The sequence below is a fragment of the Homo sapiens genome, chromosome X (genome assembly GCF_000001405.40).
Source record: "Homo sapiens chromosome X, GRCh38.p14 Primary Assembly".
Lineage (NCBI taxonomy): Eukaryota > Metazoa > Chordata > Mammalia > Primates > Hominidae > Homo > Homo sapiens.
This window is the reverse complement of record NC_000023.11, coordinates 132095489-132118798: the sequence shown is the minus strand read 5'-3', so window position 1 is coordinate 132118798 and position 23310 is coordinate 132095489. Positions and strand designations below refer to the sequence as shown.

The 23310-nt window shown below is 40.3% G+C and overlaps 1 protein-coding gene across 4 annotated transcripts in view; it reads left to right on the top strand.

Annotated features, from left to right (window-relative positions):
• Positions 1 to 23310, top strand: part of FRMD7 (FERM domain containing 7) — a 51031-nt gene that overhangs the window by 9222 nt on the left and 18499 nt on the right. The window contains exons 1-4 of one of the 4 annotated variants that reach the window (XM_017029947.3): positions 16918 to 17331; positions 18083 to 18187; positions 19289 to 19331; positions 21455 to 21533. The exons of 1 other annotated variant lie outside the window; for it this stretch is intronic. In XM_017029947.3, coding sequence (XP_016885436.1) covers positions 17323 to 17331; positions 18083 to 18187; positions 19289 to 19331; positions 21455 to 21533 — 236 coding nt within the window. In that variant the 5' untranslated portion in view covers positions 16918 to 17322. Of the gene's footprint in view, positions 1 to 16917; positions 17332 to 18082; positions 18188 to 19288; positions 19332 to 21454; positions 21534 to 23310 lie in introns of those variants that run through there. 2 more of the 4 variants (NM_001306193.2, NM_194277.3) reach the window with 2 other exon arrangements.

The window sequence follows — 23310 nt, the reverse complement described above, 5'->3', positions numbered from 1 at the left end:
AGGTTAATCTGATTGAATCTTAAACTTGAGGGCAGAGGGGACTGAGAGAGAGCGATGAGAGACTGAGGGCTGAGACAGGAGAGACAAGCAGGAACTGATGAGACAGCTAAATGCCCAGGCAGATAAAAAGGGGTCCCCAGAGAATCTCTGGCCCACTCCACAAGTGTTTACATCAGATGCTTTTGTGCAGATGGGGGAACCTGCCCAGTGCCTTGTCTGAGCATGCCCACATGCGCACTGGGAGAACAGGGTGGAGCCATGGGCAGGGGGAGGAGCTTGGCCTCCAGTTCCTGTGTGGTGGCCTGGGATTCAATCTGTGAGGTCAGGGACCTATTAGCAAGAGCTCCATCTCCCTTTGCTGAGTTTTTTTTTTTCTTTTTTCCCTTTTTTGCCCAATAAAATCCTGCCCTACTCACTCTTCAATGCGTCTGCGTGCCTAAATTTTCCTGGTCGTGTGACAAGAACCTGGTTTTAGCTGAACTAAGGAGCAAAATTCTGCAACACAAAGTCATAAAAAAGATTTTTCAAATAAAGAAATCAAGGTTCAGCAAGGTTAAATATGAGCTCAAGGTCATACAACTGCAAGTAAGTACTTGAGTCAGGAATTAAAAGTAGATGCGTTCATTCCAATCCCCAACTCTCTCCCCTATGGTTTGCTGCCTCTGGAATTCTGATGCACAGTTTGGGTTCATATAATTCTTTCACTACTTTACCAAGCAAGAACTACCACTGCCACGATTCCTTCCCATAATTTGTATTCATATTTCCGTATTTAATTAAAGTTTTACACAAAAAATTATTAGACATTTTAGTATTTAATTCAAAGTCTCAAGCAAAAATAAGACAACCAAAAATGTACCCCAAATAAGCTGGGAAAATTCAGTTTCTGGAAAAATGTATCCTAAGGAAATAAAATTTTATGTAAAGATACATGTACATCTTTGTGTACTAAGATGTTTATTTTAGTGTTGTTTGCAATAGCTCAAGGGAGAAAACAACTTACATGTCCAACAAGGTAGTTTCATATAACAGTAACTAATGATGATATTCACAATATAATACTACATTTTTTTAAAAAAGTTGGTCACCAAAAGGTGTTATTACATCACATGCATTGAGCTTTACTCTGTGATCCTTAGATTGGCTGTCTCTTGATAGGTGGGATTAGGAGTACCTTATTTCTTCTTGCTTTTCTGTTTCTTTTGTTCCCTGCTTTTTAAATAAGCATATATTGCTTTTGGAATGAGGCCAAAAAAACAAACAAAAAAAGAGAAAACAATAAAAGAATCTTCATTGAAAACACAGTTCCAATGATAAGTATGTGAGGTAAAGCACGTTACCTCGATTTAGCCATTGCATAATCTGCATATTTTAAAACATCATGTTGTACATGATAAATACATATAATTTTTATTCATCCATTAAAAATAATAAATAAAAACAGTTGCTGTACATGATCCACTACCTGCATAAGCAATCAAAAGAGGGGGTTCTTCTCATGACGGCAGGGCCACACTTTCCCAGATGCTCATAGCCACATTATGTGATATGTATAGGTTCTAGGCACTTGCTCCAAAATATCAACCCCATTCCCTACTAGCCTACAATTATTACTCTTTTCCAACCTAAATAGTAATGGTAATAGCTAATATATATCAACAGAATGTTTATTATGTGCCAGACACTAGTCTAAATATTTTACATGTATCAGCTCATTGAAATCCTCAATGAAGTAGGTGCTACCAATATTCCCATTTGACAGATGTGCTAACTGGAAAGAGGTGAAGTAACTTTCCCAAAGTCACAGAACAGTGAGTGGTGCAAACAGGATTTGAACAGGGGCAAGCTGGATTAAGAGCCCATGCACTTGACCACTCCATCCACTCTTTGAAGCTAGTCCTTCAAGAACCACCATGTTGCAGTTATCTCAGCATTTTATTTTATTTATTTTATTGTATTTTTAGATTTCATTTTATTTTAAGTTCTGGGATACATGTGCAGAACGGACAGGTTTGTGACATAGGTAAACGTGTGCCATGGTGGTTTACTGCACCCATCAACCCATCACCTACGTATTAAGCCCCACATGCATTAACAATTCATCCTGATGCTCTCCCTCCGCCGGCCCCAACCCTGACGGGCCCCAGTGTGTGTTGTTCCTCTCCCTGTGTCCATGTGTTCTCATTGTTCAGCTCCCACTTATGAGTGAGAACATGCGGTGTTTGGTTTTCTGTTCCTGTGTTAGTTTGCTGTATCTCAGCATGTTATATCTTAAACGGCTCTTATTTGTGTTGGGAGTGGTTGAGTAAAAAACAGGGTCAGCAGTTGCTGGTGAAGTGGGCCTTGTAAGAGCTCTGAGAGAGCTTTCATGTACAAATGGAAAATGGAAACGGTTCAGAGAAATGGACAAGGTTAGAAAAATACGTGGCATCTGAGAATCATGAGGCCAGAAAGAAAGGTCATTCTTTGGAGCTCAGTGGGTGGGGTTATGAGGCCAAAAGGATGCAGTAAGTTCCTTTAACTTTGAGAAGGCAAGCAATAGTTGTTGAATAGTTACTGCTTACTCTGAAACATAATAGATGCTTAGTAAATATCTGTTAAATCAATGTAAGAGTGGATTCTGTTCTTGCTCTCAGCTGCTAGGCAGCTAATCCTTGCTCCAATGAGTTAGCTGATATAATGTCAGTCGATAAAACATTCTAGGAAGTTAAGTGTTAAGTCGGGAGGGGTGTGGTGCAAACATTTCATGTGTTAGAGTAATAATTTTTTTCCTGGACCAGCCCTGCACACATGTGAAACTGTGTGGTCACAGTATGCCCTCACTGACTATTCGAAATGGGGTTGCCAGAAGAAATGAGAAACGCCCTGCCTCAGACTTCCCCAAAGTATAACAAATGAGAGGTCATCTCTATTCCTAGGAATCTACAAAGACTCCTCAGGTTTCTCTGTGGAAGCCACCGTGAACCTGTTTATTCATTTCTGCATTTGGAGGAATGTGGACTAGAGCCTCCTAAGTTGAGAAAAGCAAATGTCAAATTCGACATTGAGAAGGGAAGAATATCTTTGGTTTTGATTTTTAAATAGCAATGAGTCAGCTTAACCAGATCCTTCTGTACAAATAATTCCACCTAAGCAATTAAAGGAGAAAAATATTGGAAGATCTTGCATTGGGAGTGTACAACTAATTTTAAGACACAAAGGTTAGTATCCCTTGGGATGTAGTTTCCCATTAAAGATTGCTAATAAGTTACAAATCCTACCACTACTCCCTTCTCAGGTTTCCCACAATTTTACATTTAGAAAGTTAAACCATGCTTTCTCTTTCTCTCTTGTACATTAGTCTTTTAGATGTGTAGTACTTAAAAGAAATGCATGAAATTAAAAATGTCCTGGGTTTGGCTGTACTTGTACCTGGGTACAATTAGAGAATTCCAGACAACTGTTTTGAGTTATGCTGCATACCCTAAAAATAGAGCCACCATATTTAAATAGCCTTGAGGAGAAAGGATGGCAGAGGTCCTTAAATCTGGGGCCAGCCCCAGACTAATCCAGACTGAGAAGAATCTGCAATCACTAGGCTTACAAGTTCAAGTCACTCCAAGGCTCACAAGTGTGAGTTAGCACTTAGGACTGGGATGACTACAGGCTGGTGTAGGCTAAAAGAAAAGGGGCAGAAAGCTGTAAGCAGGCCCCGGAGTTAAGTTACACTGCTGAGCTGTAAGCAGTCCCAGGAGTTAAGTTCAACAAATCTTTGAGAATCACCTACAGTGTGCACGACATATGTGGTGATCGGTCAAGGAGAGAGCAGACCTAAGTGGAATCTAGCTGGTTGCCATTGTAAGTCCAAGTTAGTATCAAACAGCAGGAACCCAAGTGAAGAGACTAGGTGAACATCAGGGTTAGGAACTTGGATAGATGTGTGGGTAGAAAAAGAAGAGTGAAATAACAGGTCCTAAGTGACTGCTGCAAAGGTGGAGCTTGGCAAGAAGCCAAGTCAAGACTGAGGCAGGGGCCTCTTGTATGTTTCCTGCTGTAGGGCAGAACTGGTCCCTTAGTGTAGTCCACAGGTGTCAACAAGCAAGCACACCTGGCTAATGTGGAGATGTGGAAAGGATGGGAAATGAGACACTCCTGGACAGGGAGATCAGCTTGAGTGATAGCTCACATGACATCTCATTTTTGCTAATCAGTTTGAATCCTATAGAGGTTGTATATTTTTAATTTAAAATTTTATATCCAGCTTCAAAAACAATAGAACCTAAGTTCATTATAAATAGATGAGAAAATTCGGTAAACAAATGAAGAAAATAAATTTCAAGTATAATCCTACCACCAAGATTTTAACATTTTGGTGTGCATTTTATACATTGAAATTCTACTTCTTTAATGGACCCCTAAATTCCACATGTGCCTCCCCATTCCATTTAGTTTGGAATAGTTTCCTGAATATATTTAAAAAGGTTTTCTGTTCAGTCAATGCAGATTCCCCACAGTAACCCTAATATGCTGGCTTTCATGGCCTCTTAGTAAGTAGATGTTTTATAAGGCATTATACCTTGATGACTTCTTTATAGGGTTTCTGTGAAATTCACAACCTGTCAGAACAGCATGGCTTCCAACCTGCTCACAGCCCTGCTGGGCAACATAGTGAGCACTGTTTCTAAATGGAGTAAAACTGATTCTAGGAACAAAAGAGACAGACTCGGGGAGCAAGTGAGAAAAGGGAGGCTAAAGGAGAAGGTGAAACATTGAAGTCATAAGCAGAAGGTGGGAAAAGTGAGTCAAGGATAGAGTCCAAAGGTGAGAAAAGATAATAAAGTCAGGTAACATGGTTACCAGAGGCTAGGAAGAGTAGTGGGGGGTTGGAGACTTGGGGGGAGGTGGGGATGTTTAATCAGTAGAAAAAAAAATAGAAGAATGAATAAAACCTGCTATTTGATAGCACAACAAGGTGACTATAGTCAATAATAACTTAATTGTACATTTTAAAATAACTAAAAGAGTGTAATTGGATTGTTTGTAACTCAAAGGATAAATGCTTGAGGGGATGGATACCCTATTGTCCATGATGTGCTTATTTCACATTGCATGCTTGTATCAAAACATCTCCTGTACCCCATAAATATATACGACTACTATGTACCCACGTAAATTAAAAAATGTAAAGTGAGGTAAACAGAGTGACTATGACAGGAAGAAATGAATGAAAAAAACAAGTTCTAGCTGTTTATCTCTCTCTTATCATTCATCCACCTAGATAATAGTTTTCTCTTTACATTTAAGGAGAGCCTGGCATAATGAAATGAGCCCATTGCTGGAGGCCAGAAGACCTGGGTTCCACTCCCAGGTCTGCCATTAACCTGCTGAAAGATCCTAGGCAAGTCTCTTACCTGCTCTGGATCTAAATCTCCCCACTTGTAAAATGATGGGCTTGGAGTACATGATATCTAATGGTCTGTTTTGTCCTGGGTATCTCATATTGCTAGGTATATACAGAATCAATTTCACGTTAAAATATAATTCCAAGTACCATTTAGAATTTGGTTGTGTATCATGCACACCACATGGATTTAATGTTAAAGTGTTATGTGGAGACAAACAATTATAATTGTTTTAATTACCCAGAGTAGCTAGTAATTTCTATAAGACTTGGGAGCACTGTCTTAAGAATGCTATTATTACACTGTCACTTTTCAACAGTCTTTCCAATTTAGGCATGATAATTTCAATGTCCCAGGAGTGGGGACAAGATTGCTATTAGGCTGATAATCTTACTGGTAATCTTTTTCTTCACCCCTGCCCCCCTTAGTGTGAAGGTTAACGCTGAGCAGTGAGAGTCTCTTAGACTCCATCCAGTTACTTCACCAAAGAATGTGAATCAGATGCAACCTGTCCAGGTCATTGTCAGGCCTGCATAAGGCCTCAGGCAATTATATATAATCACTTCCTTGTAGCTTTGAAAAGGTGTCTGACAGAAGGTATCATCTATCAGGTACCGGACTAGCTATCTGATTCCAGAGTTCTCTTCCTAGCTTGGTTTGGTTGGCATCAACATGGCTGTGGATATAGGGGGTGGTGGTCAGGCAGCTGTTCAGCTTGATTCTCCAGGACCCCCCAGGATAGTCACGTGGGCCGGAAATCTTTCTGGGCAGTTAATCCTAAGAAACGTTAAGCCTTCCATCTTTCACACATGCAGCACTTTGAACTGCTTTATGTTTTCAGAAATAAAATAAAAACCAGTTGTAATTTGGTGCGAATTTCACACGTGCACAAGCATCTAAAAGGCTTGTTCTCTCTGCTTACCCCCACCAGGAAACCTTAAGTACCCAGTCAAACTGTGCTTCCCTCCAGGGTTTATTGCTGAGTCCTGTGGGCTCTAGGGAAAGGGCCTTGGTTCCTTCCTACTTATTCTTTGTTCTTTGATGTGTCTAACTGCACCTTGCTCTCCACCAGATGCTAAAAGGTTAGACTGCCTGCAGAGAACTCCATTTTAGAAGGAACCGCTGCTACCTGGTAATTAGCCTCTCACCACTCTTAGCAGTTTTCCTTTTACCAGGAGTTAAAACCCCAGGAAGGGTTACAGTTTGGTCAATGAATTTCTTCTGCCTCTGCCCTGAAGGAGCTCCCTTTCCTCGTTCCCTAGGTGATTTACTGAGTGCAAACTTTCAAATTATGTTCAGCTTATTTCCTAGAAAACTTGTTGCAGCTGCCTATATTGGTATAGGTGTAAAATATGAGCCTTTTAAAAAAATGTCAGAACATTTGCATTTTTACCGAAAAGTAAAACAGTCTTTAAAAAGAATCCCTCCTAGGGTTTATTCCTCAAGAAGTTCTGAGATTCCTGGATGTAGCCTGCAGAAAAAGGCTTACCTTCAGAGGGGTTTAAGCTCTCTGTAAATAAGGTGCACACCTATTGATGTTTATAAACAGAGCTCAGTCGAGGTGAAGGAGTGCAGACCAAGATTTCACCAGATGGCTAAAATTAAATCAGCATAACTGAAAACATGCTTAGCCTAGAATTGCACTAAATGGTGTCAAAATGCAGAACTATCTCCATACTTCCTGTTCTAATTAACACAAGTCCAATCCTCTCACTGGAGTGTTCTGCTTGGTTCTGGCTTCCAAAATGCTATTCGGAGTTCAGGATTTGAAGAGTAAAAGACTGATGGAAATTAGCCAGAAGGAACTAGTTCACAGTTGTCCCCACAAATATGCTGAATGACAATGTGCTTATACTATTATAGATGGAACTGGTTCTGGGCCAGTGCCAGAGTGGGTGATTGGGGTAAGTTACAAAAGGGATAATACATGGAGAAGCTCTGAGGTTCACCAAAAGACCAGAAGAAAAATACCAGATGGTTGGCCAGACACACTGGCTCATGCCTATAGTCCCAGCACTTTGGGAAGCTGAAGCAGGTGGATTGCTTGAACTCAGGAGTTCTAGACCAGCCTGGGCAACATGGTGAAAGCTCATCTCTACCAAAAATACAAAAATTAGCCAGTCTTATAACTCAGTCTCAAAATAAGTAAATAAATAGATAAAAAATTTAAAAACAAAATTAAAAAATTAAAAAAAGAAAATGCCAGGTGCTGGACTTAAATTTTTATATTTATTTTTCTTTTTATTTGAGACAGAATCTTGCTTTGTTGGCCAGGCTGGAGTACAGTGATGTGATCATATTTCATTGCAGTTGAACTCCTGGGCTCCCACCTCAGCCTCCTGAGTCACTGGGACTACAGGGATGCACCACCATGTCCAGCTAATTGTTTAATTTTTATAGAGACAGGGTCTCAGTATGTTGCCCAGGCTGCTCTTGAACTCCTGGCCTCAAGCAGTTCTCTTGCCTTGGCCTTCCAAAGCTCTAAGATCACAGACATGAGCCACTGTGCGTGGCCCAGGTGGGTGACTTTAAAAGGAACTGGTGAACAAAATAGGTTGTCAGAAGGAGATTTCATAAGTTAATGCCAGCAGAAAGCTTTTGATATGAGAAGCCATGATTTTCTTTTCAGACCTGTGCAAAGGCTACGGAGTGTTGAAGGAGGGGTTCAAATATGTGCACACATTGGTGAGGAATGTTCTGAGCATCCCCACTCTCAGATAGGTTGGTGTGGGGAGAATTCAGTAACAAGGGATGGAGAGTAAGTGAGGCAAGCTGCTTGGGTAGCCCCTTGTTGTGCATGTGGTCTGTGGGCCAATTGGTAAAGAAACAAATGTCAAGGATGAGCAAAGTGATGCATAAAGGTGAATGAAAGACGGTAAAATGAAGCCTAAACTCAGCGATGATGGACGCAAACCCTTATCCCAGCAGAAGGCAAAAGGGGAGCAAGCCTGTAAGACCTGCAAAGAGAATACCAGGAATCTCTAGGACACTCTCTCTCTCTTAACCTCCCCAAGTCCAACTGCACCTATTACAGAGCCATCTCTCCTATCTTTACCTCTTTGTATTCTCACTACCACTGTCTTAATCCAGGCTACCATCTTCTCTCACCTGAATTATAGCAGCCCCAACCTGACTACCTGTCACCTGTTTTACCCCCTCCTCCACCTATCCCTTAAACCATCATTCCTCAAAGTGTAGCCCACAGACCAGCAGCATCGGTCTCACCTGGTAGCTTGTTAGAAAAGTATATTCTCAGGCCTCACCACATATCTATAGAATCTGAACCTGCATTTTAACAAGATCCCCAGGTGATTCATATGCACTTTACAGCTTGGGCAGCAGTGCCCTAACTACTTTTAGGCTGCTGTCTCTAAGACACAACTCTGACCTTGTCAAGTCCCTGCTGAATATCATCCAGCTACTCCTAACCCCACCCTGTACCTCACCTTCAAGGCACATGGCTTCACATGCCACAACAACTCCCCTTGGTATGACTTCTGCCCACTTTTCCAGCCCCAGGGTCTCATTTTCTCCTTTAGCAACACCAAACTGCTTGCAGTTTCATTGTTCAAACCAGGTTTTCTAATCTCTTCTGCCTCTAACACTCTTCTTCTTTCCGCTGGCTAACTCCAATTCTTGCTTCACACCTCAGCTTAGATGTCCCATCTGTTAGGAATCCTTTCTACTACGCCCTCACCCATCTTTATGGGTTAGGTGATCTCACATTACCCCCTGCATACATCCCTCCACAAAATCACTTAGCTCAAACTGCTGTGATTAACCATGGATGTGCCTGTCTTCTCTGCCAGCCTATGTGTTCCTTGGTGGTAATGCCTGTGTCTTGTTCATCTCAGTGTCCCTGGAGCCGAGGAGAGTATGTGGCACAGAGCAGGTGCTCAATAATCTGTGTTGAATTGAAGGGACAGTAGAAAGGATCACAAAAGGGTAATGGCATACACAAAAAGGAAAGGAAAGGGCAGGCACATGAAAATTAAGCCCAGAGTTTGGGCAGATAAAAATTACAAACAGGAAAACAAAAGAGCTCGAAAAATACAATAAACAATAGAGTAAAAAGCATACTAAAGGAGAGATGAGGCGTTGACTTTTAAAGTGTTTATTAAGGAGAAGGTTAAGACTGATGAAACAGTTCTCTGTCTCTGTTTTTGTGTATGGCTGTTATGGCTGAGACTTACCTATGAAAATGTGGAATCAGAGGGTTAAAATGACCAAAAGGTAATTCATTTACTTGCCACCTGGAGAGATGATCAGCTGATACTGGTTTATCTGAGAGAAAACCAATAGTTATGTGTGTGATTCTAAATATTGCAGATCTTGAATATTCAAATAAATATTGCCCTTGTCAAAATAGACCCCTCAGATGGTGCAAATGCTAATAGCTAGGTGTAGCCTGTTCTCACACTGCTATGAAGAAATACCCGAGGCTGGGCAATTTACATTTGTTTAAAGAGCTTTAATGATTCACAGTTCCGCATGGCTGGGAAGGCCTCAGGAAACTTACAATCATGGCGGACGGGCACCTCTTCACAGGGCTACAGGAGAGAGAATGAGTGCAAGCAGGGGAAATGCCAGGCACTTATAAAACCATCAGATCTTGTGAGACTCGCTCACTATCATGAGAACAGTATGGGGGAAACCTCGCCCATGATCCAATTACCTTCATCTGGTCCCGCCCTTGACACATGGGGATTATTATAATTCAAGATGAGATTTGGGTGGGGACACAGAACCAAACCATAACACCAGGTGACCACACACCAGGATTTGTCCAAGACAGGCCTGGTTTATGCCTGTTGTGATAATATCCTTATTACAAGTGCCCCTTGTTATCCTCTAAAGTGTCCAGGTTAGGTTCATAAATTATATGGTCACCTAGAAGTAGTCAACACTTATTGAGTTCTTCCTATGTGTCAGACACTGTGTAAAGTACTTTACATGAATATTCTCGCTAGAAGCTCCCTGTGATCCCTTTTGAGATAGACATACAGTTCACATAACAGTAAATTAATCAAATTCATCCTTTTAAAGTGTACAATTCAGTGGTTTTTTTGTATCTTCATTATGTTGTGCAACTATCCCAACCATCTAATCCCAGAATATTTTCATCACCTCCAAAAGAAACTCCATGCTCATTATTATTCACTCCCACCCAGCTGCTGGAAACCACTAATTTACTTTCAGTCTGTAGGGATTTGCCTATTCTGGATAGTTCATAGGAATTGAATCACATAATATGTGACTTTTTCTTTCTGGCTTCTGACAATTCTATTTTACAACTGAGGAAACTGAGGCTCAGAGAGATTAAGTAGCCTACCCACGATCACTCTTCTAGTGGTAGAGGAGTCAGAACTAGGCCCAGGTGTGTCTGGCTCCAAAGCAAACATTCTTAGCCACCATGCTGTGCTGCCACCTCATATTTATTGCAAGGGCTTAGCACATTCTTGGAACTCCTCTTTGGCCCTCTGTAGCTGGGCACATTCTTTCCAAAATGCCTCACAAATCTTCATTATTTGAGAGGGAATTTAGTGTTTGGGAAGAGCCAAAAGTCATAAAAAGCAAATATGGTAACAAAAGTGGACCATCAAGCTGGGTCATTGCTATAGACTGACTTGTATTCTCCCAAAATTTATATGTTGAAGCGCTAACCCTCAGTGTGACTTTATTTAGATAGGACTTTTAGGATGTAATTAAGGTTAAATAATATAAATATGGGGTCCTTATCTGATAAGATTGTTAGCTTTATAAGAAGAGGAAGATTCTCCCTCCCTCTCTCTCTCTCTCTCTCTCTCTCTCTCCACCATGTAGAAATATAGTGAAAAGGCAGCCATTTACAAACCAAGAAGAGAGCCTTTACCACAGTCCAACCATACTGGCACCCTCATCCCAGGTCTCCAGCCTCTAGAAATGTGAGAAAATAAATTTCTATTGTTTGAGCCACCCACTCTATGGTATTTTGTTATGGAAGCCTGAACTGGCTAAGACAGTCATATTTGGGGATAAAAAATGAGGCATAACCATAAAGTCAGGAGAATGAATGATTATCATCTGTGACTTTGAGAATAATTTCCTGAAGGGGTCATAAGAAATATTTTGAATGCCAGAGTCAGCATTGGAAACAGGGGAAGCCTCTATCTATAAGACATTTTGTATGACACTATGCTTTTAACATTTAGAATATCTATTGTATTTCTCTGGAAAATATAACAAGTATAAGCAAAAAGTAAAAATAACCCATTATGCTACTATTAATGATATGCTATATTTCCTTCCAATCTATCTTTTCCTGAAACCTTAATTGTATAGTCTGTATTTTTTTAAAGCACACAATTAATATGTAAGATACATTAAAATTTCTCTCTTTTTAAAAATCTTTTAATTTTAGGTTTGGGTGTACATGTGAAGGTTTGTTACATAGGTAAATTTGTGTCAAGGGATTTTCTTGTACAGATTATTTCATCACCCAGCTATTAAGCCCAGTACCCAATAGTGATCTTTTCTGCTCCCCTCCCTCCTGCCACACTCCACCCTCAAGTAGACCTCAGTGTCTGTTGTTTCCTTCTTTGTGTTCATAATTTCTCATCATTTAGCTCCCACTTATAACTGAGAACTTGCATTATTTGATTTTTTGTTCCCGCTTTAGCTCGCTAAGGATAATGGCCTCCGGCTCCATCCATGTTCCTCCAGAAGACATGATCCTGTTCTTTTTTATGGCTGCACAGTATTTCATGGTCTATATGTACCACATTTTCTTTATCCAATCTGTCATTGATGGGCATTTAGGTTGATTCCATGTCTTTGCTATTGTGAATAATCCTGCAGTGAACATTTGTGTGCATATGTCTTTATGGTAGAATAATTTATATTCCTCTGAGTATATACAATAATGGGATTGCTGGGTCCAATGGTAGCTCTGCTTTTAGCTTGTTGAGGAATTGCCATACTGCTTTCCACAATGGTTGAACTAATTTACACTCCCACCAACAGTGTATAAGTGTTTCCTTTTCTCCACAACCTTGCCAGCATCTATTATTTTTTGACTTTTTAATGATAGTCATTATTTTTAATACCATTTGAATTGCGTGAAATGGTATCTTATTGTGGTTTTGATTTGCATTTCTCTAATGATCAGTGATACTGAGTTTTTTAATATGCTTGTTGGCTGCATGTATGTCTTCTTTTGAAAAATGTCTGTTCATATTCTTTGCCTACTTTTTAATGGGGTTGTTTGTTTTTCTCTTGTAAATTTGTGTAAGTTTCTTATAGATTCTGGATACTAGACTTTTGTCAGATGCATAGCTTGCAAATATTATCTCCCATTCTGTAGGTTGTATATTTACTCTGTTGATAGTTTCTTCTGTTGTGCAGAAGCTCTTAAGTTTAATTAGATCTCACTTGTCAATTTTTGCTTTTGTTGCGATTGTTTTTGGTGTCTTTGTCATGAAATCTTTGCCCATTCCTATGTCCAGGATGGTGTTATCTAGGTTGTCTTCCAGGGTTTTTATAGTTCTGGGTTTTACATTTAAGTCTTTAATCCATCTTGAGTTAATTCTTGTATATTATGTAAGGAAGGGGTCCAGCTTCAATCTTCTGCATATAGCTAGCCAGTTATTCAGGCACCATTTATTGAATATGGAGTCTTTTCCCCATTGCTAGTTTTTGTCAGCTTTGTCGACGATTTGATGGCTGTAGTTGTGCAGCCTTATTTCTGGACTCTCTATTCTGCTCCATTGGCCTATGTGCCTGCTTTTGTACCAGTACCCTGCTGTTTTGGTTACTGTAGCCCTGTAGTATAGTTTGAAGTCAGGTAACGTGATGCCTCCAGCTTTGTTCTTTTTGCTTAGGATTTCCTTGGCTATTTGGGCTCTTTTTTTGTTCAACGTGAATTTAAAAAAATTTTTTTTCTAGTTCTGTGAAGAATGTCATTGGTAGTTTGATGGGAATTGCATTGAATCTGTAAATTGCTTTGGGTAGTATGGCCATTTTAATGATACTGAGAATGTCTTATTTCAAATGTTGTTGAAGGTGGTTGTTGATCAGTTAATTGACAAAATTTGCTAAAGCAAACACTAATAACAAATCATATACATATATATACAGACATCTCAAATTTTTTATTTTAACATAAAATGTATACATTTTATTCATATCCTAACTGTTTGATATAGGGTCAAGACCTTTTCTTTAGTATGGACTTCTGATTGTATTCCCTTTTGTCTTTCTTCCATAAACCACATCCATAATCTGTCATCGATGATTTCCAGTCTTGGTTTATTTAATGTGGAACAAGAATACAATGATTTCAAAGCAGTGAGTACAGAATCTTTCCAGATTTTGATGTCTTTCCTCCGTCAATCTTTTATTGCTGTCATATCCAAAACTAATTTGACAGCACATTTTTGGGGACTCCCCCTTATTGAGTCTTTACAAAAATATCAATTTAAGTTTCATAGAAACAACTCTTGCCATTAGTGCTCATAATAATTTTTGATATACATACCATTTAATTAAATGGTGTAATTATAATAATAAGTAGAGCTTGTCAAAAATATTTTCAAGAACATAATCATTAGTAAGCATGGGACTCAATTGGTCACTGTCAAAGTGTACAATTGTATTTGAGTCACCTACTAGCCATGAGTTTTCATCACAATGTGGGCATCTGCCAATTTTTTGTTTGTTTGTTTGTTTTTTGTTTTTTTGGTTTTTTGAGACGGAGTCTTGCTCTGTCGCCCAGGCTGGAGTGCAGTGGCACGATTTCAGCTCACTGCAAGCTCCGCCTCCCGGGTTCACACCATTCTCCTGCCTCAGCCTCCCGAGTAGCTGGGACTACAGGCACCCGCCACCACGCACAGCTAATTTTTTGTATTTTTTAGTAGAGATGGGGTTTCACTGTGTTAGCCAGGATGGTCTCGATCTCCTGACCTCGTGATCCCACCACCTCGGCCTCCCAAAGTGCTAGGATTACAGGCATAAGCCACAGCGCCCAGCCCGCATCTGCCAATGTTTTAAAGAGGGAATAGAATGCATTATATGCACATTATTAAGTGGAAGTTGGTTAAGAAAGTTTCTACCATCCTTGCTTATTAAAAAAAAAATTCAGACACGTACAGAGTAAAAAGTTAAAGTCCCCCTTATTTTATCTCCTCTCCAGGAATATTGTTGTTACCAATTTGGTGTATATTCTTCCAGATTTATTACTATGCATATATCTATACATGTGCATTGCTGAAGTGCATATGCATATGTGCATGTGCATATGATGTGCCAGGCACTGTACTAAGACCTTGATGTGAATTATTTTATTTAACCCTCACAACAACCCTATGAGATAATATCACTATTATCTTTATTTTACAGATTAGTAAACTGAGGCTCAGAAAAGTTCAGTAATTGCCCAAGGTCACATAATGACTAGTTTGTCTCTCTCTTAAGAGGACTATTATACTAATGTACATGAATCAAGTTAAATGTCTGGGTCCATTTATCCACTTACTCAGTAAACATTTATTGAATGTCCACTTTGCCAGGCACTGTACTTAATTCCAAGAATTCAAACACGTGGTTTTTATCTTCAGATATCTAGAAGAGGTAGATCAATCTGTGAGCTAAATGATTTGCCCCAATTCGTCCAGCTAGTAAGTGAAGAGAGCAAGATTACAATCCCGATTTATTTTAACAAATTGGTATATAACAATTGTTGGTGCACAGAAAATTTGGTAGATTTGTTTTTAGAGCTAGCCACTTTGAATATTATTGTTTCCATGAGAAGATGAGTTTGAAGCCCCCAGGAATCAGTGTTCAATTGTTATGACCCAATAAATTAAAGATTATAAATCCAAGTTATGAATGATTTGTTTAAATTATAGAGATAGATAGATAGATAGATAGATAGATAGATAGATAGATAGATAGACATTTAAAGGCAGATATCAGGATGAGACAGGATTCAGGATTGGAGTTCCAATTCCTTCAGTGGGAGGACTGACGGGTGGTAAAGAATTTAGATCTGCTAAGGAGCTTGATTAGGATATTGAAAAGTACCAGCTTAAAAAAGACCAAGCAATTGTACAGAGAATCAGAAGTCCAGAGAAAACAGAAAAGAGAAAGAGAAAACAGGAAGCTTGTATATAAGGCAGTATTACAAGAAAGAGAAACATAACACCAAAATTGAGAAATTCGATCATAATGGTAGAAAAAATTAAAGGCTGCATGTTGAGACAGAACCAAGACCTTACCTATTACATAACACATTCCACAAAGCTGGCCAATTTCAACGTACACTATGGAGGACTGAAGGAAAATGCCTCTCGCGGAGATGGGGTGGAAAGCTTGAGCCACATGAGTGTCTGACCTCCAAAAGCATAAATGCCAAAGGCTTTTAGAGCCAGTTGGCAACACTTACAGGGATGGAAGAATCAGGGAATTATTCTTATAAACATAGTATGGGATCTTACGGAAGGAAGCAAAACGAAGGCCTTAATTAGAAACCTTAAAAGAATGGCTACATATGCTTTGTAATTGCAGAAACATGTAAATATACAAACACATGGAACATGGCAGTGTTGATAGGGAGGATTAAGTGCCCTGATGGAAAATAAGAATAAAATATGAAAAGGAGAAAGGAAAATCTTGAGCTTCTTAAATTGCTTGCAAAAAAAAACTGGAGTGTATGATGGAATTTGGTCCTCATGACTGAAGTGTTTCTTTGGTGTTGGAAAAAGTATTGCTGTCATCTCTCTCTCTTTAGAAATTCTTTTTTTTTTTCATAATAAAAATCCCATGGCAGCTCCTTGTCTATGAAGGATTTTAAAAATAGGAGCAATTTCATGTGTCTGCAATGGTCTGTGTCAGCACTTGCCCTAGGCAAGGTTGCCACACAGGCAAAAATGTACCCCTCTCCCCTATAAACAGGCCCTCCCTGGCAACCCCATTCCCTTGGTGCCACCCCCCCCAGGGGAACTGACCCCCTTTTCTTGGACTACAGCTCCATTGTGATCTCCCACATCAAATCAAACCCCCTTTCCCTTGGTAGAGCAGCTCTGTCTCCAGGTGCAAGGGATGAAATAAGTTTCACCCTTTGCAGCCTATTTTCATTTAAAAATCGGACTGGGGTTAACCCAAATGAATCTTGAGTCGGTGGAGCTCTGGGCAGTAAAACCAAGTAGAGAGAAGTCCATGGGGAGAGGGGTGTATTTTTGGACGGTGGGGGAAGCGGGTGAGGTAGGCCGCCTTCCTGAAAACTATTAAATCCCAGATGTGGGCTCTGTTCAGTGTGGTGCTGCCTTGAGGGAGGGGGGAATTGGTGGTGGATGGACTCTCTGACCTCTCAAGGTTGCTGTTAATTCTATGGGTCGGTGATTTCCAACTACATTTCCCCGCGCCTGGCTTCCTTTGCAGCACTGTAGGCACCGCGTGACTCGCCTTTAACTAGGGGTTTTCAGCAGCCAGTCTTTGTGCCTATCAGCCAGGGCTCAATTTTCCCATCACGGTCCTCCCTGCAACAGCAATCCCTGGGTTCAGCAATAGTGGAGGCAGGCTGAAAATCAGTCCCAGCCATACTCAGCTCAAAGAAATTTTTCACAGAGAGCTCTTCAAAGCTCCTGTTCTCAGAGAAGCATAAGAAAGGGACTGTTTTGTGCTCACAGTGTGTGTGGGCTTTATGAAGAAAAAAATTTGTGGCCTTATGTGAACAGAGTATGCTGTATGCAGATTTGGTGGGCAAAGCTACAAAATGAAATCTACTCAAGGGGCTCATATAATCATATGGTCAATTTCATGTTGGATCAACAAACATTCAGGAGCCCAGTACTATGTGCCAGGCTCTGAATTAGAACTGGTGAGTAACAAGAAAAATAAAGCAAAGTCCCTGCTATGGAGGAATTCAGTCTAATGGGGAAGATAGACATCCAGGGCAAGAAGTGCTATGCTTGAGGTAAGTGAGGGTGTTTGGAGGCATAGGGGAGCTTGCCCTTGGCTCAGCCTGCGGCTGATAGGGATTGAAGAAACCTTCTCTGGGGAGATGACATCTGAGCTGAGTAGGAGTAAGCCAAACCAAAGAAATGTGGAAAGAGCGATAGGTGGAGAAGGATGACATGAGCAGAGGCATGCAGGCACGCAATGACTAGACAGGTATGGGGAACTAAGAGCAGGCTGCCGTTATTAGAGAGGAAAGTATCAGGAGGAGGTGGGCAAGAGGCTGGAGGCGCAGGCATGGCCACAGGAGGGAGAGAGAACTGGGTCTCCTGTGCTGAGGAGTACAGGCTTTATCCTGAGGGGGTGCCACTGAAGGATTTCAAGCAGGGGAGTAATAGGGTTGGATTTACATCTTGACTAAACTATCTGTCAATTTGGAAGAAATCATTCAAATTGCCCATGGGATGAACTGATTCAAGAATTCCATTGAAAGGGTAAATTTGCAGATGTAGCCATAGTTAAGTGCAAGTATTTCTTTTTCCAAGGTGGTTTGTTATAAGGCTTTCTTAGGGATGTCGCTAAAACAACACAGAGACAGATAAGTGGATCTATCTGTAAAGGTCAACATCTTTGAAAAGGATGCAGGTCCTCTAAACAGTGCTTAAAGGAAACAGGGCTTGCAGAGAGTCTTGTGGCTTCTACCCTTTATTCCGTGCTGCAGTATCAGGTTAGGAATGCAAATTGTGCTATCATCTTTTTGTTTTGTTTAGCAAAAGTCATCCGGGAAGGCATTGTTTAACCTGAGTTGCAGCCATCTAAATCTTGCTGAAAAGGAATATTTTGGATTAGAATTCTGCAGCCATTCTGGAAATAATGTAAGTTGGTTTCATTATAGGGTTCTTTGTGTCTAGCATTGCTTCTAAATGCAGTTTGCAGCTAGGTATGTAGGGTTCAATTCCCTGATTGAAAAATGAAAAACTATGTGCACCCTTGCAACATGATTAGATTTAATAACTAGTTTTTGTCCTCCCTCTTTGTTTATTAACAGTCACCTTGGCCAGGTGCGGTGGCTCATGCCTGTAATCCCAACACTTTGGGAAGCCAAGGCAGGTGGATCACCTGAGGTCAGGAGTTCAAGACCAGCCTGGCCAACATAGTGAAACCTCATCTTTACTAAAAATACAAAAATTAGCTGGGTGTGGTGGTGTGTGCCTGTAATCCCAGCTACTTGGGAGGCTGAGGCAGGAGAATTGCTTGAACCTGGGAGGCAGAGGTTGCTGTGAGCCAGCATCGCACCACCGCATCCCAGCCTGAGCAACAGAGTGAGACTCTGTTTCAAAACAACAAGTCACCTCAATTTGCCAAACACAAACTCTTTTACCCCACATTCCTGTTTTGTCACTCTGTGAGCAGCTATGCATGCTTTATCAATTTTGCCTTTCCAGAGCCTGGACCTCAACCTGCAGAATTAAGACTTTTAACCTCACCAGTGAATATTCAGAGGAATCTCCTTTCTCCTTTCTCAGACCCTAACGTTCAGATATTCTTCTGTTGTGTCCTGCCTTGGCATATCTGTGATCTGGCATCTTCCCAGAAAGGCTCATTATGTCTATTAGACTGGCATTTGGGGACTGGAGGGTTCAAATGTGGAGCCAAATGCCTTCATTAGTCTTTGTAGCAACTAATGAGCCATGTATGTGACACCTCTGTCATCCTACTAAGGCAGTGGAGCAGTGATTCAAATGTCAACAAGAAAGAGTTTATAGATCAACAATGTTCACTGTCATCGGGAAAATATAAGGGGGCAGATTAAACGTAGTATGCCACCTATTTGACATTGCTGTTTGTTTCTACCTTTAGAAGTCTAAATAGTCCTGGTACTCATTTATTTCATGTTAATCTTTATCTATTACCGAAAAAAAAAAAGCTCTGCTCAATGCCATGCTCTACCAATTTTTTCCTTAATGTTATTACAGGTTTGGCTGGAGCTTTTGAAGCCCATAACAAAGCAGGTAAAAAGTAAGTATGGAAAATCATTTAAGGAAGAGAGTTCACAGTTAGAGCTTGAGAAAGGTTTCAACAACCTCACACAATTTCTCATTTTAATATAAGGGGAGAAAAGGGCTTTGAGATATTATTTCAACCCTTCATACATCCAGTAAATTCAGCAATTTAGAAAATTGTTTTAATTTTGCCTGAGATGAAAGAAATCATGCTGCTGGATCTTTGAGTAAATCTGAAGAACTCTGGTAATTACAGTACTCTGGATTGGTTTGAGGAATATATCTCATTTTCTGGCACTGCAAATCTTCGAGCATCCTTGATGTCAATCTGCAATGCCATTCACTGTCTGCCTGAAGATTCTTTAGTTATATCCTGTCACAAGCATTATTCACTCGCTTTAGTTCATATTTAAGTGCCTAATATGTATGAAATATTTTCTCCCTATATTTTACAATCTAGTGTGATGGTTCTCAAATTTCAGTGTGCATTAGGATCGCCTGAGTTTCTTGTTAAATGCCGATTCCTGGGCCTTATTCCTGAGTTGCCAATAACCTGCATGTTTACAAAATTCCACAGATGTTTCTGAGGCAGGCGGAGTTGTATCAGGACTTTGCACTGTTTTAATGTCTCTTTTACTGGTTCCTCTTCCTCTACCTGCTCTTTACATGTTAGTGCTTCCCAAAGTTCTGTCTGTTCCCACTGCATAAGGATCACCTGTCACATTATTCCAACAGCTTCCAAATTGATTCCCCTCATCCATCATCTACATTACTCCCAAAGAAATCTATTGAAAACAAAATTCCACAGATGTTTCTGAGGCAGGCGGATTTCTATCAGGACTTTGCACTGTTCCTCTTCCTCTACCTGCTCTTTACATGTTAGTGCTTCCCAAAGTTCTGTCTGTTCCCACTGCATAAGGATCACCTGTCACATTATTCCAACAGCTTCCAAATTGATTCCCCTCATCCATCATCTACATTACTCCCAAAGAAATCTACTGAAAACACCAACCTGATCACATCACTCTTCTTCTTAAAATGCTTTCCTGGCTCCCTACTACCTACCCTTCGAGGAATAAAGTCCCAATTCCTTAGGATGGTACACAAAGCATTGAACTCTGGCTACCTTCCTAGCCTTGTCCTTGCTACTAGCTACCTCGTATTCCTACCTCTGCTGACTTTGACAAAACTAATCTCAGATGGAGGCTTAGCAGATAAAATACAGAATGCCCTATTAAATTGTAATTTTAGATAAACAAAGAATAATTTTCTTATATAAGCACATCTCATGCAATTGTTGTTTATCTGAAATTCAAATTGAACTGGGAATCCTGTGCTTCTTATTCACTAAATCTGGCCACTCTACTCAGGTCTCAAGTCCTCTGGTAGGACATCCTTGACCTCCTCCAAACTCTTTCCTCCCTTCTGTGCTTCCCCAGTACTCAGTGCTTATAGCATTTTAGAGTGTTATAACTGTCTAGATGTCTGTCTCTTCTACTAGACAGTGAGCTCTTAGTTGTCTTTTTACTCCCAATACCTGCTTTGCAGATAATGGGCACCAACAAATATTTACTGAATCAATGGTGTTAATGCTGCATGTGTGCATTTATGTTTTGTGTAAAAGTTAATTTTCAAATGCAAGCAGGTGTGAAGATAAGTATATGTGTTTTCTTAATGTATAAGATAGAGGTATCAGTCCATCATGCTTTGAATTCTCTTTATGAGATACTTAGGCTTGGTAATGTACACCTGCCTCAGCTGAAGTTGAGCCCTTCTCTCAGTCAGGAATGCAGAATCCCAACTAGCAAGTGCTGTATTTTTCTGAATGGGATACTTAGGAGAGGACACAGTAGGCCTCAAAGGGGCACATTTATACAAATAAACTCGAAGGCAGAGAGGGTAGAAAGAGGGGTGGGAGAACTTTCCCAATCGCTATATACATAGAGACACAATCCAGAAATTGTGACACTTTATACATGTGATAAATGGAAACACAGAAGTCTGTAGGAGGGAGTGATGGGGAGGGGACGGAAGAGGAGAGCGGTGTGTGTGTGGGTGTGTGTGTGTGTGTGTGTGTGTGTACCTATAACTGTTGTGATGGACATTTAAATAAAACTTATGGAGATATTGTGTTTTAAGATCCTAAGGAGATTGTTTTCAAATTTATGGTGAAATTTTTCCCAGTGGACCCTGGACATCTGCGGGAAGAACTTACAAGGTATAGTGATTACCTGTGTGTCTCTGCATGATGTTACTTAAGAATCATTATTCTCCATTTATTGGGGGCAAGTGCTTCTGGCCATTCTCACAAAACTTGGCTTTAAGTCACTGTCTGGGAGATGGTGAGGATCTGGAGAGAGGATGGGCCTAGCTGGTTCCCCAGGTGTTCATCATCCAAAGGGTGGAGACTACAGGAAGAAAGAGGTGTGTTCTAGAAGTTCAAGCCTGGGTATCCACTTGGGGGTTATGCCATTAACTACTACAACAATGAATGTGCTCTCCTTCATGAATCTGTGTTTCAGTCAGAGAGGGCAGCTTAACAGCACGGGTATAATACCAGCCGATTTCCATGGAAATTGAAAATGTGGGGGTTGTGAATGTATCTCACAGAAGACAAAATAATCTGTAATGATGATAAATACTTATGAAAAAATGTCCTTCAGAATTACAAAGTAAACCTATTTCTGCAAAAATATGTTGTCAACAAAACATTCCTCAAAACCTTACTCTACTTTCTAGACTTACACTTTTTTTTTTTTTTTTTTTTGAGACAGGGTCTTGCTCTGCCTCAGGTTGGATAGGCTGAAGTGCAGTGGCAACCTCCCTGGCTCAAGCAACCCTCCCACCTCAGTCCTTGTGCCCTGCTTCCCGCCAAGGACTACAGGAACTTGCCGCCACGCCCGGCTAATTTTTAAGGTTTTTTTTTTTTTTTTAGAGATGGGGCTTTGCTATGTTGCCCAGACTGGTCTTGAGCTCCTGAGCTCAAATGATTCTCCGCCTTGGCCTCCCAAAGTGCTGGGATTACAGGCATGAGCCACCACACCTGGCTTAGATTTAGACTCCTATACGTGAAAGAGGTCTGAGAGATAATCTAATCGAGCCCTCTTAGTTTACAGAGGAAGAGATAGGTCATGGGAGCTAAAATGACTGTCCAAGATCACAGAAGGTTGCCAGTTATTCTCCCTGATGTCTTCCCCCCAAAAGAGTTCATGGCCAGTTCAATCTTTGCCCCTTTTATAAAGACTTTTCTGAGTGGCCTTTGCAAAAGTCGCTTTTTACAAGCCTCTCTTTCTGTCTTTCTCTCTCCTAATTCTCTCTCCACATTTGTGAGCTACAGGCCACTTTCCCAAATAACTTGATACCTTGGTATATATATGTATTTGCGTTTGCTAACCCATTTCAGTTGAGTTTTAAATTGTGACCAATTTTGATGGAGATAAACTCCCCCCACCTCCAAAAAAAAAAGAATGGGAAAATCAATGTGATGATAAATGATTCATCAGCTGTTCAGAGCAAGGATTTGGTATTTGTAGCAGGCAGCTGCCTTCTTAACAGCAAGGAACGTGTCAAATGACAAGAAGTTCCCTTTCTTTCATGCTAGGAGCAAAACGAAATTCACCTTTCCTTTAGCAACTAAAGCTGATTATTCTCATTGACAACTATATTTGAAAACAGGCAATGACAAAGGTTAGGCTTCATTTATTTGTTTCCCATTGGTCCATTTAAATAATACTTAACTTTAGTTGAGTCTACAAGGATGCCTTGTCTAGGCTAATACATGGGTTTCTAAGAGTGGTGTGCAAATGTAATTTTTCTAATTGAATCGTTTCTAATGTATAAGGAGAGCTCATAATTTGAAAGATTATAATGATGAATGCTTTTGTAAACTGAATAATCACCTGCTAATTTACTTGCTTTTTCAATCTAGATTTTCACATATCACTTGCGATTAATTTTGATTCACCACATTGCCTTCAAGGCTTAATTGGTTTTAA